Source organism: Homo sapiens, chromosome 9 (assembly GCF_000001405.40).
Source record: "Homo sapiens chromosome 9, GRCh38.p14 Primary Assembly".
Lineage (NCBI taxonomy): Eukaryota > Metazoa > Chordata > Mammalia > Primates > Hominidae > Homo > Homo sapiens.
The window spans coordinates 14,604,812-14,622,106 of NC_000009.12; the positions used below are offsets into that span (position 1 = coordinate 14,604,812).

At 32.7% G+C, this 17,295-nt stretch overlaps 1 protein-coding gene across 29 annotated transcripts in view; it reads right to left on the reverse strand.

Annotated features, from left to right (window-relative positions):
- The window catches only part of ZDHHC21 (zDHHC palmitoyltransferase 21), a 104,636-nt gene that overhangs the window by 16,015 nt on the left and 71,326 nt on the right, over window positions 1-17,295 (reverse strand). For 22 of the 29 annotated variants that reach the window (NR_148714.2, NR_148716.2, NR_148715.2 and 19 more), the window contains 2 exons: window positions 14,828-14,871; window positions 6,260-14,287 (listed from right to left, as the gene is read on the reverse strand). Coding sequence is in view for 17 of the 29 variants with exons in the window: in NM_001354127.2 (NP_001341056.1) it covers window positions 14,155-14,287; window positions 14,828-14,871 (177 nt within the window). In the remaining 12 variants the exon portion in view is untranslated. Of the gene's footprint in view, window positions 1-5,038; window positions 5,218-6,259; window positions 14,288-14,824; window positions 14,872-15,608; window positions 16,830-17,295 lie in introns of those variants that run through there. The other 7 variants (XR_007061286.1, XR_007061285.1, XR_007061287.1 and 4 more) reach the window with 3 other exon arrangements.

The following is a 17,295-nucleotide window of genomic DNA, read 5'->3' on the forward strand; positions in this document are numbered from 1 at the left end:
GAGCTCTAGAACTTTTTAAACTCGCGTGACAGAAACTCTATACCTTTTGAACAGCAGTTCCCCAATTCCCCCTCCCCACAGCAGCCACCATTCTACTGTTTCTATAAGTTTGACTACATTAGATACTTCATATTGGTGAAATCATGCAGTATTTGTCCTTCTGTGGCTGGCTTATTTCACTTAGCAAAATGTTGTCAAGGTTCAAGCTGCAGCATCTGACAGTATTTCCTTCCTTTTCTATGGCTGAATAACATTCCATTGTACGTATATACTAAATTTTCTAAATTCATTCAACCATCAATGGGCATTTAGGTTGTTTCCATCTCTTGGCTATTATGAATACTGCATTAATGAAATGGGGAGTGCAAATATCTCTTCCAGATCCTGGTTTCATTTTTTTTTTTTTTAATATCCAGAAGTGGGAATCCTGAATCATATAGCATTTCTAATTCTTCTGAGGAACTTCCATACTGTTTTTCAAAACAGCTGCACCATTTTACACCCCTAGTAACAGTACATAAGGGTTCCAATTTCCCCACATCCTCACCAACACTATTTTTTTCAAATGGCCATTCTAACAGTTGTGAGATAATACCTCGTTGTAATTTTGCATCTCTCTATTAGTGATGTTGAGCATCCCTTCACGTACCTGTTGGTCATTTGTGTGTCTTCTTTGGAGAAATATCTATTAAAGTCCTTTGCCCATTATTTAATCAGTCTTTATATGGATTTTTTTCTTCTATTAAGTTGTAGGAGCTCGTTTTGTATTTTGATTAACCTCTTAGCAAATATGTGGTTTGAAAATACCTTCTCCCATTCGATAGACTGCCATTTGATTCTATTAAGTCTCCTTAGCTATGCAGAAGCTTTTAAAGTTGATGCAGTCCCACTTGTCTATATTTGCTTTTGTTGCTTGTGCTTTTGGTGTTATCTCCAAGAAGTCAACAATGTTATGAAGATTTTCCCCTATGTTTTCTTTTAGGAGTTTTATACTGTCAGATCTTATGTGTTGTTAATATTTTGTCCATCTGAAATAATTTAGTTTCTCACTATACAATATTACAGAAACAAGTTTCCAAAAATGTACAAAACATTGAAGTTTGTAAAAATAAAGCTACACTGGGGTTTATGAAAATAAACTTCAAATGGATTCAAGGGCATAATAGTTAAAAAAACAAAAATATCAAAGTTTTCTTGAAAAATGAAGGAAAATACATAATCTTGATTTAGGAAAGACCTTTCTAAACAAGGTAATAAAACCCAGAAGTCATAATAAAAAGTACTAAATTTCAAGGTAGTTTAATTCTTCCATACAACATGATGATTGGGCAAATTTAATTTCCAAAGATGTCCTCAACAATATCTCCCATCCTATATACTTTTCCTGTGAAGTGTGACTCTGACACTCTTCCCATGAAATGGAATTATGTTCTCTCCCGCTGACTCTGGATAAGCTTGGGACTACAGGTTTGTGACTTCTGAAGCTAGGTGACAAAAAGTGACATAGTTTCTTTCTGGTTGTCTTGGGCCACTGTCTTCTAGAACCCAGCCATCATGCTGTAAGTAAGCCCAAAGTTATATGTAGAGGTCCATGTAGGTGTTCTGGATGATAACCCAAGCTGAGTTCTCAGCTGACAGCCAGCATCAACCATCAGGTATGCGAGTAAACGAGGCTTCTGTTGATTGCAGTTGCCAGCCATAGAATCTTCCAGGATCTTTCGGTCCTCCAGCTAAGACCTCAGACACCATGGAAGACAGAAAAGCTGCTGTGCCCTTTCTGAATGCCTGACCCACAGAAACTGTGACCATAAAAAAATGGTTGGTTTTTTTATGGCACTAAGTTTGGGATTGTTATATAGCAAAAGCAACTGGAACAATCACCATAAAGAAAAACAAGTGACTGGGCTAAATTTTAGAAACCTATTAAATAGATTAAAAAATAATACCCAGGAAATATATTAATAAAAAGTTACTAACATTTGACAAGCAAAGGTAACCTAGTCAAAAACCATAAACAAAGAATACACAAGAGAAAAAAAACCAGACGTTCACCTCTATTACTTTGCTACAAATTTTAAAGATTAATAGTATTCATGTGAGAATGTGTGTAAAGAATTTTGGAAGACATTTTGGTACTTCCTATCAAAATTAAAAATAAGTACATCCTCTGACTTGTCAATTTCACTTCTAGACTTTACCTACAGAAATACTAACAAATGGGCACAAATATTTCTGCACAAGACTGTCCTCCATAGCACTGTTACTAATAGCAAAAAAAAAAAAAAAAAATCTACATGATGCCCACTACAGAGGAATGGTTAAATAATAGTTTATTGATATGAACTGTACAGAAGAGGGTGGGCATGGTGGCTCATGCCTATCATCAAGCAGTTTGTGAGGCCAAGGCGGGCAGACTGCTTGAGCTCAGGAGTTGCAGACCAGCCTGGGCCACATGGCAAAATCCCGACTCTACAAAAAATATAAAAATTAGCTGGGTGTGGGAGGATGGCTTGAGCCAGGAGGTGGAGGCTGCAGTGAGCTGAGATTGTGCCACTGCACTCCAGCCTAGGTGACAGAGGCAGACCCTGTATCCAAAAAAAAAGTTATTATATGTTAATAGGGATAATCATATATCATTATATGATAGGAATATCATATATAACACATATGATAATGTGAAGGAAGGGGAGTGCAATGATGCACACCAAATTATGGCCAGTAGCTACTTTTGGGGAGGAGGGTGGGAGTGAAGATTTTGGTAACGGCAATTTTTTCCATTTTGTTCTAGACGGTGATAAGTGCTATGGGCTGGGGGCGGGGGGGAAGTAAGGACAAGAGATCAGGGCTGTTGTGGAAGGGTTATGTAAATTTTAAAAACTGATCAATTTTTCATGTTTACATAAAGTATAAAAACATCTATCAGTATGCTACATACCATGTTTAAAACAGCGTTCACCTCTGAGGAGGAAAAAGAAGACTCTACAGGGCTTTGAATACCAAAAAGTGAGGATCACTGAAGACCCTCTTAGAAGGTTCCTACCACAGCGATTACCCAAATTATTGGAGACTTTCAAACGTAAAAAATGTACATGAAAAATCAATGACAAAAATTAGAGCACTTCACAGCACAGTATCGTGCACTGACTGGATCAGTATTTTCCACATTGTGGGTACTTTTCCGTGATGAGAATATCTGAAATGCTTTTGAACACTGAAAAACTCGCTAAAAGCCAGACATCAAGTTACAAGTGCAGACCATCCAAAAACCCTTCATACTGGTTACTTCTAGACACCATTAAAATATGAACCTGTTTAACATAATGAGGATATGTGTTCTACAGCTACAAAGCTTACACAAGTTATAAAACAAATTTCATTAACTTGTTGGTCCTGACTTCAGCTAGGATTACGCATCTATAGTTTCAATGTGGAACTATAAAATCTCCATCTCGTACTAGGTACTCAAACATTCAGTTATGGCCAGTAGCTACTTTTGGGGAGGAGGGAACATGTCTAATTTTTTAAAGTTGTAAATTTCAATACTAAGAAAGATAAATATCACCCAAACCATGCTACAATTAAACTTACTACTAAAGACACACTCAAATACGTGTCTACAGTAGTATCTGAGTGCTTGGAATTGTATATTCCAAGTTCCTAATTTCCTCAATAGTCTGGCTTTCTTAAAAAATGCAAAACACACTGCTATTTTTATTGTGTTTGATCTTTAAACAGAGGTGCTTTCTTGTTTGGAGAAGGGGCCTAATTTGAAAATACTAGTCATCCAGAGGACATACAAAGAATGTGCTGTGACTGATACAAATATTTTTTTAAGTTAGCTTAGATGTATTTTTTTTTTTCAAGCTAACACATATCCTCTATCCTTCCTCAGTACTGTTTGCTCAGCTGGATGTCTACAGGGTCCAATTTTCCTTCCAATTGCTCTTGCACGCTAATATAATTGCTGCTCATATGGGTAATTGGTCAGCCTAGAGCAGCATTTGTATGCATTTGTTCATCTACAGTATCTGGCAACTTCTCAAATGATTTTGCACTCTTATAATACAATCACGTATTTTTAGTTTTTGCCTCTTTATAACAAGGCTAAGTAGGTGTGAATCTGTAAAGGATACATATTTTAAGTGTTCAAAAGCTGGAATATACAGATACACATTCCAATTATTTTTAGCAGTGGACGTTTCTTCTCACTTATCAGAGTCAATGAATCTAGTCTCAAATGTATGTTCCTCTGCTCCACCTTCCCCAATTGTTTCCTCCCCAAACAAAGCCAAATTAACTAGATTAAACCACACTATCGCTTAAAAAAGGTGACAAGCCATTTTCACTTAATACTGATGAAACAGCAAAAAACCATTAATTTTACTAAAGCTTGTTCTTGAGCACATTTTAAATATTGTTTGACAAAATGGAAGTACACATAAAGCACTTCAGGTGAATTCCAGAATTTAATTGTATTATTACTAAAGAAAAGCACTTGTGTGACTGTTTGAGTTGCAAGCTGAACTAGCCACTTTCTTTCATGGAACACCATTTTATACTTGAAGGAATGACTGACAAACCAGTTTTTCAGACTTGGGTATTTGGCAAGCATTTTCTCAAAAATAAGTGAAGGTAACCTGTCACTTCAAGGACAACTACTGACAGTATGTGGTTGCCAATAAAAAAATTCAAGCTTTCACATGAAAATTAGAATTCTGAAAAATGTAATCTGTCACCACAAACTTAACCGCTTCCCAGTACTTACTTTTCTGACAAGATCAGTGGTAATATTAATGAATTTAATTTTATTTTGTATGGCTAAAAGCAATACTTACTTTTCTGACAAGACCAGTGGTAATATTAATGAACTTAATTTTGTATGGCTAAAAGAACTTTCCAAAGTGAAAAAGAGACCAGTGGATTTTAAGAACACGAAAAGTTCCTTGGTATTGTTTCTGACTCCACATTGGAACTAACTAAACTTTAAGAAACCATCACTTGAGTTTTAGTGTAGTACCAGAGGAAAATATCCAGTTACCTGAAAAGATCAGAATACTCCTCCTTTTTCCAACTACATTATCTGCACAAGATCAGACTTCTCCAGATACTTCTAACAAAATAACAATTCAATTGGTCTAATGCGAAGCAGTATGAGATCCAACTTTCTTCTATGAAGGCAGACATGAGAGCTTTGCAGAAACATAAAATCATGGGTCTCTAAACAAAAATGTTATTTATGTTAACATGTAATGAGTTTATGTTTAAATGAATTAGCAACTATTTAAATTTTTTCCCATTTTGTTTCAAATTCTCCTAGATCCTAATCGGTTTTATTTTCTATTACAATAAATACTGATAAACATAACTTACATAAGCAAAAATTCTTTGGGGCCTGCAGTAATTTTTATAAATGTAAAGGAGTCCTGAGACCAAAAAGTTTGAGAACTGTTGTAACTTATCATCACTAAGAAAATATTATTATAAATGCTACTTAGAATCAAAACAAAGGAAATTGCAAAATAAACAAGATTAAAGATTTATAATCCTTAAAAGTTTATCAGAAGGCAAACTTTCGGACAAACCTGCTTTGACTTACCAATAAAGCAAAATTTATAGTTTTATTTGCAAATCTATCAAATAATTTATCACTAATCTAGAATATTTTTCAAAATTACTTTTCTGGTAATAAAATTTTTAAAAGAATTTAAAAAATAAAGTTAAACCTCTGTCTTTCAATCTCAGGGCAGTTTCTACTAACTCACTGTCTTTAAGACCTGCTGATTGATTTGTCTTTTCAGAGCTGATGATTTTTTTTGGCCAACTTCATAGGAGCACAGGCTTTAATTCAATATTGCCAGATCTAAAATAGTGCCTAGGTGTAAACTTAAAGTTTCTGCATTTTACTGTAAGTAAATTATTCCCCTCAAGAAAAAATACTGCTATAAAATAGTGTCTGCCACAATAAATGTTAAATAAATTGGGTGACTGAATCCAGCCATCTGCGTCATCTCTAAGATAAACATGCCTAACTAGAAATACTGCGTTTGTCAATTTCAGCCCTAGTATGTACACCTAGTTCTTTTTGAATACTTAATGAATTTTGTGATTATGGCAGAACAATATCCTAAGGCTAGTAATCATGAATAATTATCCACATTGTATAAAATTTTTAAAAGTGACCTATTACATTGGTAGTGCTGAAATCTAGAATTTGGGTTAATTTTCCTAAGTAAGAAAGGTAAGAGGATAAAAACAGTCCTACGTTTTTAAAAAATATTTATTTAAAAATAAGATTTCAAAAAATACAGTACTTAATACATTTTGAGAAGTAAAAATTCCACAATTTAAATTAAAAACAATCTGCAAAGAAAATAGAAATATTACGTGAAAAAAACTAAATCGCTACAATAAATTAAAAACAACAACATTGTTCTTAAGGTAGATACATGGTTTGATTTTCACATTAAGAACCAGTGTAGACTTTTCATCTAAACAAATACATCTCAGCTACATGGTTCCCACTTGTCATTTCACCCATTTTACTCACTCTTCTCAAACTATTCTTACATCTCTCAACTACTATTTTCCTAATTACCATCAACACTAGAAATATTGGTGAAGATTTTCTTCAAATTCTCTTAGGGGAAAGACAAGGTAAAAATAATAGACAATGCAAGGAAAACAGCACTCAGATCTATACATATTATGTACTGAATAATAAAATGCCTGACAAATTTAAAAACAGGATCTTCTTATGCCACTTGTAACATACCACTATTAAAAGCATTTTAGGGATATAATACTAGACAGAACTTGGGGTTCACACATAATTTTAGGAGCCTCAAGAATAACATAGATTTTGGCTATTCATTAAACTTGCCAGTTAGATCACACACAAAAAAACACTAATTCCAGGGACACAAAGTGAGCTCATACAGCATGATCCACGTGTGCTCTGTCCTTGCAAGAGCCTAGCTTTGTCCTCCCGTGTTAGACTCACAATTCACTTGTCGGAATATCTCTGATTCTGGTGGAAGTTTTTACTTTTGTATCATTTAGTTGCTTTATTCTTACATATATGAAGTAGAATTTTTTTTCTTTTATATGTTCATCTCTGGGAGACAGTGAATAGTGGTGAATTCTCTACTACTCAATAACTTGAAAAATTACTGCATTCAGCCACATGCATTTAAATCACGCATAAACAAGCCAAATTACTCAGAATCAATACAGTGGCAACACAATCTAGGGAATATTGTTGGCAGATTAGAGAGAGATAATGTTGCTTCATCTCATTAGGCTTTCAAATTTTGCTTTCACCTCTAATGATATGTTCATCTAGATTTCTACATATCGTTCAAATGATCTGAAGCCACATTTCACATAAATTTCAGACTTGATTCTTTTTTTCCATTCAGAATTGACTGCAAAACCATATATTGTATCTACATTCAAGGAGAGGTTGATTTTAGCTAACAATAATGCAAAATATTTTCAAATGTGAATGTCTGCCTTTCCAATATACACACTGTCACCTTCTTGCCAGAATGATTAACCATTTTAGCTGCAGTTGTAAGGACACTGAGTGTTTTGAGAATTTTAAAGGGAAAAATCTGGAACCCAAATAATATACATAGCAGCATTACATTTGGACAATTACATTTCAAAGGTGTTTTAAATTACGAGTACACTTAAAGGGTGTTTCTCTTCATTTTTGTAAAATTAACTACTAAGCAAAATTAGTTTTAAAAATCTTACTCTATGTAAAGTGAGTAACCATATCCAGACTTTTTTCTTTCATTAAGTTCAATTTTCTGTTATCAGTTTTGCTTAAATCAAGGTACATATGCATTTCCTCTTGGGAAAGCATCTCTCTCTCTGTCTCTCTCTCTGTCTGTCTGTCTCTCCGTATCTCTCTCTCTATATATCTACACACACATATGTACACATACATATATTTTAAAGGTGTTCTGTTATCTTTATTTGCAAAGTAGACAAATGGCAATATTATTCTTTAAAGCCACTAAAGATTACACACACACACACACACACACACACACACACACACACGCTGAACTCGATTTGTAATGAGAACGAACCTTAACTCTTCATCTTAGTATTTTGTTTCAGTATTCACTAAAGTGCCCAATAAGCTATATAGTTCATTTATATAAATTAGAGTTCTTACCTTTTTATTCATTGTTGCAGAAATAAAACAACTTGTGAAAAGTGCTTCAATTATCTTTTGTAATTTCAGCCTATCAAACTACCTTTTAAAGTAGCCAAGCTATATTAAAATACAAAATTAAAATCCATACATGCCTACCTAAAAAAAAATCCAAATGAGAAACATTTAAAATCCATTAAATTGCCAGAGCAGCATGCAAAAAATAAGATCTGTTAATCAAACTGTTCTTAGTAACATTAAATTCTACTTTATAAATACACAACGATGTGAGAAGAAAACTCAGTCAACCAAAAAGAAAATTAACTCTTTGGTACAGGAATTAAAAATGTCACTCAATGCTAAAGTGAATAGCACCAGGATGTTTTATAGTTGTTGAGGTTATAAAACACGAACTTCAGGCACCAGTAGGTTAAAATATCATCCAATGTATACTGGCAAGAATATATAGCTTGCAATACGCAGGTAAGCTTTCCCTTTAGTTAACAGCCTGCAAACAATTAAACCCTGTATTTGGTCAAACAGGCAGGCAAAGCCACAAAAAAGCCCACAACTTCTGTTAAGCTATTTTGTCCGCATCTTTGTTTATATATAAAGCTATCGATACCAAAAAAATCAGTGTTGAACTGTTATAAGAACGACATTACATGTTACAGATATTCAAAATACCAATAGAAATGGAGACCTTCGAGGTATCAAGAACTCCAAAATATCCCAAATGTTAAAGTGAAAGCCACCCTTATATATTGTTTATTTTTCCTCTGGTGACAAAATTTTCTATACACTCAGTATCTTTTCTTTGCAATAAGAGATTTCCAGAAAAGGTGCCAGTTTTTTCAAACTTTGGTCAACCTATTCATTTCTCCTCTGCATTAAATAGCTGAGTTTTCCACATTATTTTTAACACTTCACATGATCATACTCTACACAATTATATTTAAAACTAAAATATTTATAAAAGGCATCTGACCAACTGAAGAGAAACCGCAATATAAATTCTTTAAGTTAAATAATTCAAACTAAATGCTTATATGCACTAACAACTCTTCCCATAAAAATGGTATAAATAAGAGATAAGGCTAAAATGATTACAGCAAAGAGATTCTCTGATGTCAGAAACTGGCTCCAGTCAACTCTGTTGCTGAGATGCTGATTATTCATGCACCATCTAGCCTTCTCTCCATCTTAGTAAGTTTGTGGATACTCACTACTCATTTGTACCTATTCTCTAGGGTGGACAAGGCAAAAAGAACATAATAATAGTAAAAAATATAATGATAATGGAAAGTATCAGTAATATCAATGACTTTTTAAAATACCATTGTTATTTCTGTTTCAAATTAGCAGGCAGTATTGTAACATCTGAAGAACTGACAAAGATATAGTGAGTTTTGTTGCTAAAAATTGCACAATGATAATAAAAGAAGTCAGAAAAGTCACTTTCCTGAAGTTAAACCATCATCATCTCAAAAGGAGCAGAAATGCTAAATACTGATTAACATATAGAATTACAACACTGGTTCAAAATAGTTCAAGCAAGTTGGTTCTAATACTTTCTTATACTGTACTGTGGAATATTCTAGAATTCAACTGAGAATGACTAAATATAGAGCACAATGAAATCTGTGATTTATAATAAATTCAGAGGATGATTTCTAGAATAAAAGTTAACAAACTTGGGCATTAAATAACACATTCATTAATCATACAGTTAATACTAGCAAGTAGAACACATTAAATGTACATGGCTTATTTGCTACACTTACCAATACTTATATTTTTAAAGCAGTAGTAGAGTTGTGTGAAAATCTAATATTTGTATCTATTAGCAAACTACTCAATGTTTGTATGTGTGAATTTTATCAAATAAATTCTAGATATATCTATGTATATTAGAGGTCATGTCAGAAACTTATTCAATAAAGTAACTATAGGTTATTAAACTTGGTAAACTTGAGCTAAGTAATCTATTGATACAGGAAGCGCAAGAGAAGCAGAGACTAGAGAAAAGTCCAGAGAGAGACTAGCAGCTCTATTAATTAGTATTAATGGCATATTAAACCAGAGCTTGGTACATTGTGATTTTATAGCAATACATGTGAAAACACTCAAACTACCCCATGATCTAACACACAGAAAATTGTGTAGCTATAATCTAAATCAGTTCACACTTCCTGGTTTGAAGTGTTGTCCTAACTTAAGTCTTCATGATTAGCATTCAGAATTAATACACCCTTTGGAGTGAAACATATCACCCACTAGTTACTTGTATGGGAGTGACTTGAATGTGTAACAAAGAATAGTTATCATTAGCCATCATACTTAGAGAAAAATGCCTCTATGCATTGGCAAAAACGCACTGATGTTAATCCTGGCAGATGTTTTAACTCAGCTGTTATACTGAACATTACGTATTATGTTCTCTATTTCATTATTAAAAATAAACCATGCTTTTTTTCTGAAAAAGTTAATATGTTAACTACAATTTAAAACAGCTATTTCTAATGTTAAGCACAAATATTTGTAATACAACTCTTAAGCAAAATAGTATTTTTATTATAATGAAACATCAGCTAACTTGATATTTTTAAACTGTAAGTCTGGGTTACAAAGTACCAACTGCTCTGTAACTGAATGCCTACTGCTTGAAGGGTCCTGAACTCAGTCCATTTTTGCCTACAATCTTAAGCCTACATGAAGCCCATAAACATTTTTGTTTGCAGAAAACAACAATGACAAATATGATTGTTAAGGAGGTGTAACTTACAGTATCTAGGTAAAAACCTTTCATTTCCAGAAGGTCGACAAATGACTTTACTGATGTAAAAACATGCTTTAACATACATTTTGCTTAAAATCAAATAGAATGTTTATAAAGAAATACTTCAGTCCAACATACATATTACATCAGTAATCTTACTGCTCACAATTATTTTCTAATGCCCAACACCTTTAGTTGTTTTCAGTTATCCAGAATACATAAGAAATTGTTACTAAAACTATAGATATAACTCTGCGAAATGTAAAAAAAAGAACAAAGAAAAGGAAAATTATACAAAGAATCATTAATCTCTTAGTTATTTTAAGGCAATAGAGCCAGTAAAAAAATCATTTCAAAACTGAGTAAAATAAACTAAATGTAGTTTTTTAGATATTCATTAAAACACAGAAAATGCTTGGTTGTCTTTGTAGCTACAATACATTTCTATGTTTTGTAATAAATTGGTAATTTCAAAGTAACAGCTTTTCCAATTCTAAGGAATTACTCTGCCAAAATAAGGTTTAAAATAAAATACATAAAATGGCTTAGTTTATCCTAATCTGATATAAATTTGTGATTGATTGACAGCAAGAATATAATGGGAACGTACATAAATGAAGCAAAGCAGTCATCACATTCTTATGAACTAGAAATAACATCATAAAAACATGTTCATTTTCATAAAATTTTACATTTTTGTACATACACTCCTCCTAAGTTTGTACTTTTGATATGTTCAGAATGTGGCTATACTATTTACTTATGGGGCAGTAAATCTTTAGAGCCAGTATAATTACATCAATTAGCCAAAAGAGGGCGCAGAAACAACACCAGTAGATATGCTTAGCAAACTGCCAGTTGGTTTTTCTCTAGTAGTCTAATAAGAATTAACAAAACCCACAGGAGAGTTAGGTACGCTAACTGGGGAATACTGAAAGTTACAGTGTTAAGTATATATAGATATACTGTAATATACATTCTTATGTATATATACTGATAGATAGCATTTCTGCATTCAAATAAAATAAGTGTATGCTTTTCTAGTATATTAGTTTGTAGTCCAATAATTTAGGGGAACTGAGTACAGAGGGATCAGGACCAGGAAAGGTAAAGAGGAAGAGGGAAAAGAATATGCCCTAGATGAGGTAAATCTAGGAAAAATAAGAGCACAAATCATCAGAGTGGGAAAGAGACCCTGCCCAGTACCCACTGCTACTACATGAAGTATAAATTAGCCACAAAGTTCTTTAGGTGATCTTCACTTGGCTCTGCTGTTTTCTCAAGGTCTTTATTTGAAAGGAATGTATACAATATAAGGCATTCAACTGATATCTACCTACCTTATCTATATATTACTTCCTTATGAACAGTTCTGTCACCAGGCCAAATGTGGCCAAATTAGCTTGCACAAAATCCAAACCCTTGTGCCTGACATGAACATTCTAATTTTGTGTTTCACTAAGCTTTATAAATATATTTCTTCTATTTAATTTACTACGTCTCTTTTCAGTACCAATAAATATGTTCGTCTGCTGTATTTCTGTTCGTATTTCTGAGTTTGTAAGTAATAAAGTATTCTAATTAGAACATGAAAAACATGATATTAACATCTCTGAGAAGAACTTACTCTATTATTTCAGAATATGCTACAAGATATTTACAATTTCTGAAAGAACTAACCACAGTATAGCCAACTGGCTGACAATGGTAACCTTCTGTTTAATTATTTCCCAGGTATTGTTCCTTACTTTCAAAACTAGCTAAAAGGAAAATGTTAGCATGGTTTATGAACAGTAGACTTTTTCAATCTTCTCTTCAAGGGAAAGACTGTGAGTACATAAATTTTTTAAAAAGATATATGGGTTTTGCAGTATTCTAATGGAAAAAAACTAAAAGCTGAGTTTTTTTCAAAGCATACTAAATGTCTTTTCATACAAATGTTCTATGCCTTGCAAAAGAACATCACTATTAGTAATTTACATTTGTACAAGGCTAATGATAAACACAGATCATTATATTTTCTTATTTTAGGTTCACTTCCTAACACTAGCTACTAGTAAAAGGTCTCTCAATGCAAATTACAGCCAGCCAATTAAAATTTAATTTTAATTTAGGGATTATAGGTACACAAAGTTAGTGACTTTTTTTAGTAGTAGCTTCCTATAAATAAAATTTCTATATGAGTTGGCCAATATATATAAACCTTCAATGTGAAATTTTACATCTACTAGTACATAAATAAAAGTAAAAAGTATACTCTTTTCAAAAGCACAATATTCCTCTTTATACTGTACATTATATACTATCTAGTTATACTAGCATTTTAAAAACATATGCATTCTAATATAACTGCACTAGAAAAGGTAATTGTGAAGTTATTGCAAATTCTCTCCCCTTTTTGCTCATTAAAATCTTAGGATAAAATAGGAATACATGCCCACTGGTCAGGAGTTCTCCTGGGAGCAAATATTTTAATCACAATCAATAATTACAACAGTAATAGTGAAAATTGAAAAAATTATTGTGAAAAAAATTTTAACATTTCCTTTATAGTAAGGTAGGTAGTTGGTGTTTTACTTCAGTGGTACTTTCATGTTGGTTTTGGTGAAGAAAAAAGAAGAAAACGTAAGCAAGCCACTCCTAAGAAACCAATGCCCGTTTTGTGTTGCTGTTGTTCACTCCTATGCTGCTGCATTTTTAAAAACGTTGCAGCACATTTAAAAGGAAAGGTTATTTTAAATTGGATTTGAAAAAGAAAATTTACCTATACTATAAGAAGGTGTATCAACTTTTGTAAAACCTGAATAATTAAATTTAGATTTGGTTACTGTTTAAAAGTGAAAATTTTAAATAAACATCTGAAATTTACCATAAATTAGAATCTGTAACACTGTCAGTACTAAAATAAATTATGTACAATTATTTCATCCTAATCACTGCCTTTTGAGTTTAATAACAAAAGCATTTCAAGAAATCCCTGTGGAAAGCTAATTTGAAAGTAAACATGCTTTAAAACTTAAATATAGATCTTGTATTAGTCCCACAACAGGATCAAGATCACTATTAAAATAAAGCCTGGGGCACATTATGATGCCTAAGACTGGTGGGTGGATTTTAATTGACTTGAAGACTGTCATAGTTCTATTATCATAAAACCTGTAACGCATTGCCAGCATGGAGGACCCATCTGTGCCCACCATCCATCTGTTTAGACATGATTGGCAAAGTGGTAGGGAACTCGCAGTGGTTGCCTCTGCCTGAAAGGAATGAACCACAGGATCTTCCAACGAGTGCCAAAAACTTCTGAGAAGGTCTGCTGCCATGGCTTTCGGGGCCTCGATCTACAGAAGACAGCATTATTAGTGAAAGACAGCACTCCCATGGTGCACTTCAGTCAGCTAAAACAATACAGATTGGCTGGGGATCCATTACTGGACTCTGATGAATTGTGTCCCAGCATCATAAATACAGCTTTTCTTTCATTATGGCATGCAGCTGAGTTTTAACTCTGGATAGCAGATATTGTATCTGTGTCGTCAATCAACCGAGCGCAACTTTTGAAGCAGAGGAAAATCTCAGGATTAACAGAATGTGTGTCAACAACACAGTAGCAAATCTCTTTTGATGTACTTTCAGGACAAATAATTTAACTTACTTTAGTTAGACAAGGCACAAGAATGATCAGCATTTTAGTGTGAAAACTACCATGGCTGGAAAACCCCTACTGTAAGACTGGGGTAGCTTGCCTAGCACAGGCCTCAGACAATGCACCAAGAAAAAGCCATCATTATATTATCTATCTACCATATGCACATATTTCTCAAGTATGTCCAGTTCTTTCCAATTTTAAATAATACTATACACTTCAGTTTTATACTTACATATCTTCACAACAGTTTGACATCTTTTCAATAGATGTTGTATCCTATTAAAAATAAAAAATTATATTCAGATGTAAGAAAGTTATTAAGTCTTTATTCTGTATCCACTCTATCATGTTTTTAATCTTATTCCAAAAATATTCTATAGATTTAAACAGTTTATATATGAGTATTATGAATTTTAAATTATCTTTCATACATTGCTGGAATCCCCTTGGAAAAACAAAATCAACATTATACTATGCAAAAAAAAACCTATTCAAATACTAAAACCTCACAAAAATTATGACAGTATCACTTCATTAAAATATAACCTTTTATTACACTTGCTTTCTTGACAATTCCTTTGAAAGTCTACAATCTACTTTCAATTTAACTGTCAGTGAATATGCATTAAAAAATAAATACTAAAATGACATATGAAAGAAACTAATGAACAGAAAACTGCCTAAGAGTCAGGGTGCTACTGGTTCTGGGTTTCTGTAAACAACAACAAAACTCAACAAGGCAATCTATGAATTTGCCATATTACAACATCTATTATTCTGAAAACTAAACTGACCAGAGTTCTTTCTTAGCGGAAAAAATAACTTTTTTGATAATACAATTCCCTAATTGTATGCTTTCTGTAAGGCTCTAACACAAATATGTAAAAAAAAAAATTTCAACAAACAGAAGATTGCTTCCAGAAATGCTGGTTTCTGTTATCAGAAGACTTATCATTAGACTGGCAAATTGTTATAAGCAATAGCCAAATAATCAAAACACAAATTACACAATCTTATTTTTAGATATTTATTTGTATTTTAAATATATTTTGAAACAGTGCAAAAGAGTACATTCATTCAAATACACCAAAAGCTGGAGAAGTTTTCCTCTTTTTATCCCTTACTTTACCTTAACACTTTGTTTATACATAGGTGGACTTATTTAAGCAGTACTATTCATGCAAACTCTTGCAGCTACAGGTAAAATCCCAAGAACTTATTTGGCTGCAAAACTTTTCCAATGATGCTAATAAACAGCACCTTCACTCAAAAACAACTCTTTAGAGATGTTAATAGCTCATAATATTAAATTCTCATTAAGAATAGTTGCATAACTACAGTTAGCCTATGTAAGAGAAAATCAGAGAAAATGGATCTATTTTTAAGATAACTAATAACCAACAACATAGTTTCATTTACACATTTTCCAGGAATTTTTAAAAAGTTATAGATTAGCTACATATTCTATATTCATTAGTTTTCCTATCAAGCTGTGTAATTAATGGTATCCAGTGACAATTGTATTAATAATTAACCTTTCTCTGCTCCGTTGCAATTTCCTCAAAATGTCTTACTTTATGAAAACACAGTCTACAAACATATGAGAACACTGATTAGGGTCTTAGAGGAAATTTGGGCTTCAGGTTCCACATCTGTAAAGGAAGTAAGTCATTTTAATGGTTTCTTAGAGTTTTGATAGTAACACATTGTTCCAAAGCAATTAAAACAACTTACACAAAAGTACGAAGAAAAAGATGAGATAGAAGTCAACGAGAAAGCTGAAATAGAATAGCTATTAGGAAAGGTATATGAATGGCCTAAGATCACAGATGTGGACAACACTTAAAAACTATAAACTATTCCATGGTATATAAGGCAAATGAAAGGTCAGACTACTCTCACCAGCTAAGATTAAGGGCAATTTTTACTATGGAGAAATTACAACTTGTTTATAATCCTGAAGGATTTATTTGTGGCATTAAAAAAATCAACTTTAAAGATTTCAGATTTAGATTTCATACAGAAAAAGCTTTTATTTTCAAGTGTTTTTGATACCTTTCTTGAATCTGTTTTGGGAAATAACTAAAATACTATCTATTAAATCATCATAAGCATGGTTATTCTTTCAAACAATGTGATGCTTACCATTACTTTATGAGTAGGATTTGTGAGGCTGGCCCAAATAGGCTATTTTTTTTCCTCTAGAAATGGCAAATGCTCATCTGTCTGTAACTCTGTTATCCAGAATACTGTTATAAGTACAATTTGTATTTTAGCAACCAAACATGTCATCAAGTTTTTGCACTGGTGCTTACATATAACACACCCAGAGCAATACAAATTAGGTTATCACATTCACTAGCAGGACAGAAACAGCAAACTAGAAGAGGACAGGGGTTACTACTATGAAGAATATGAAAAACCACAAGTTATCCTCAAGTGTCAAATTAAGTTAAATATACTTTTGGAATTAAAAAAAACCACTAAAAAATATTTTGGTGCAGATAACTTCATTCAATACTAAAGACTCAACACAGTTAGTGCTCATCATGAAAGGACCAATAAGATAACTATTATCCTCAAGGAGTTTAAATACAAAATATAAGTCCTCAGTTATATGTAAAACTCAGCTATCCAGAGAAATTCACTTGTCCAGGAATGATAACAAACAAGTTTTTACTATGTGTCGTCTACCAGAAC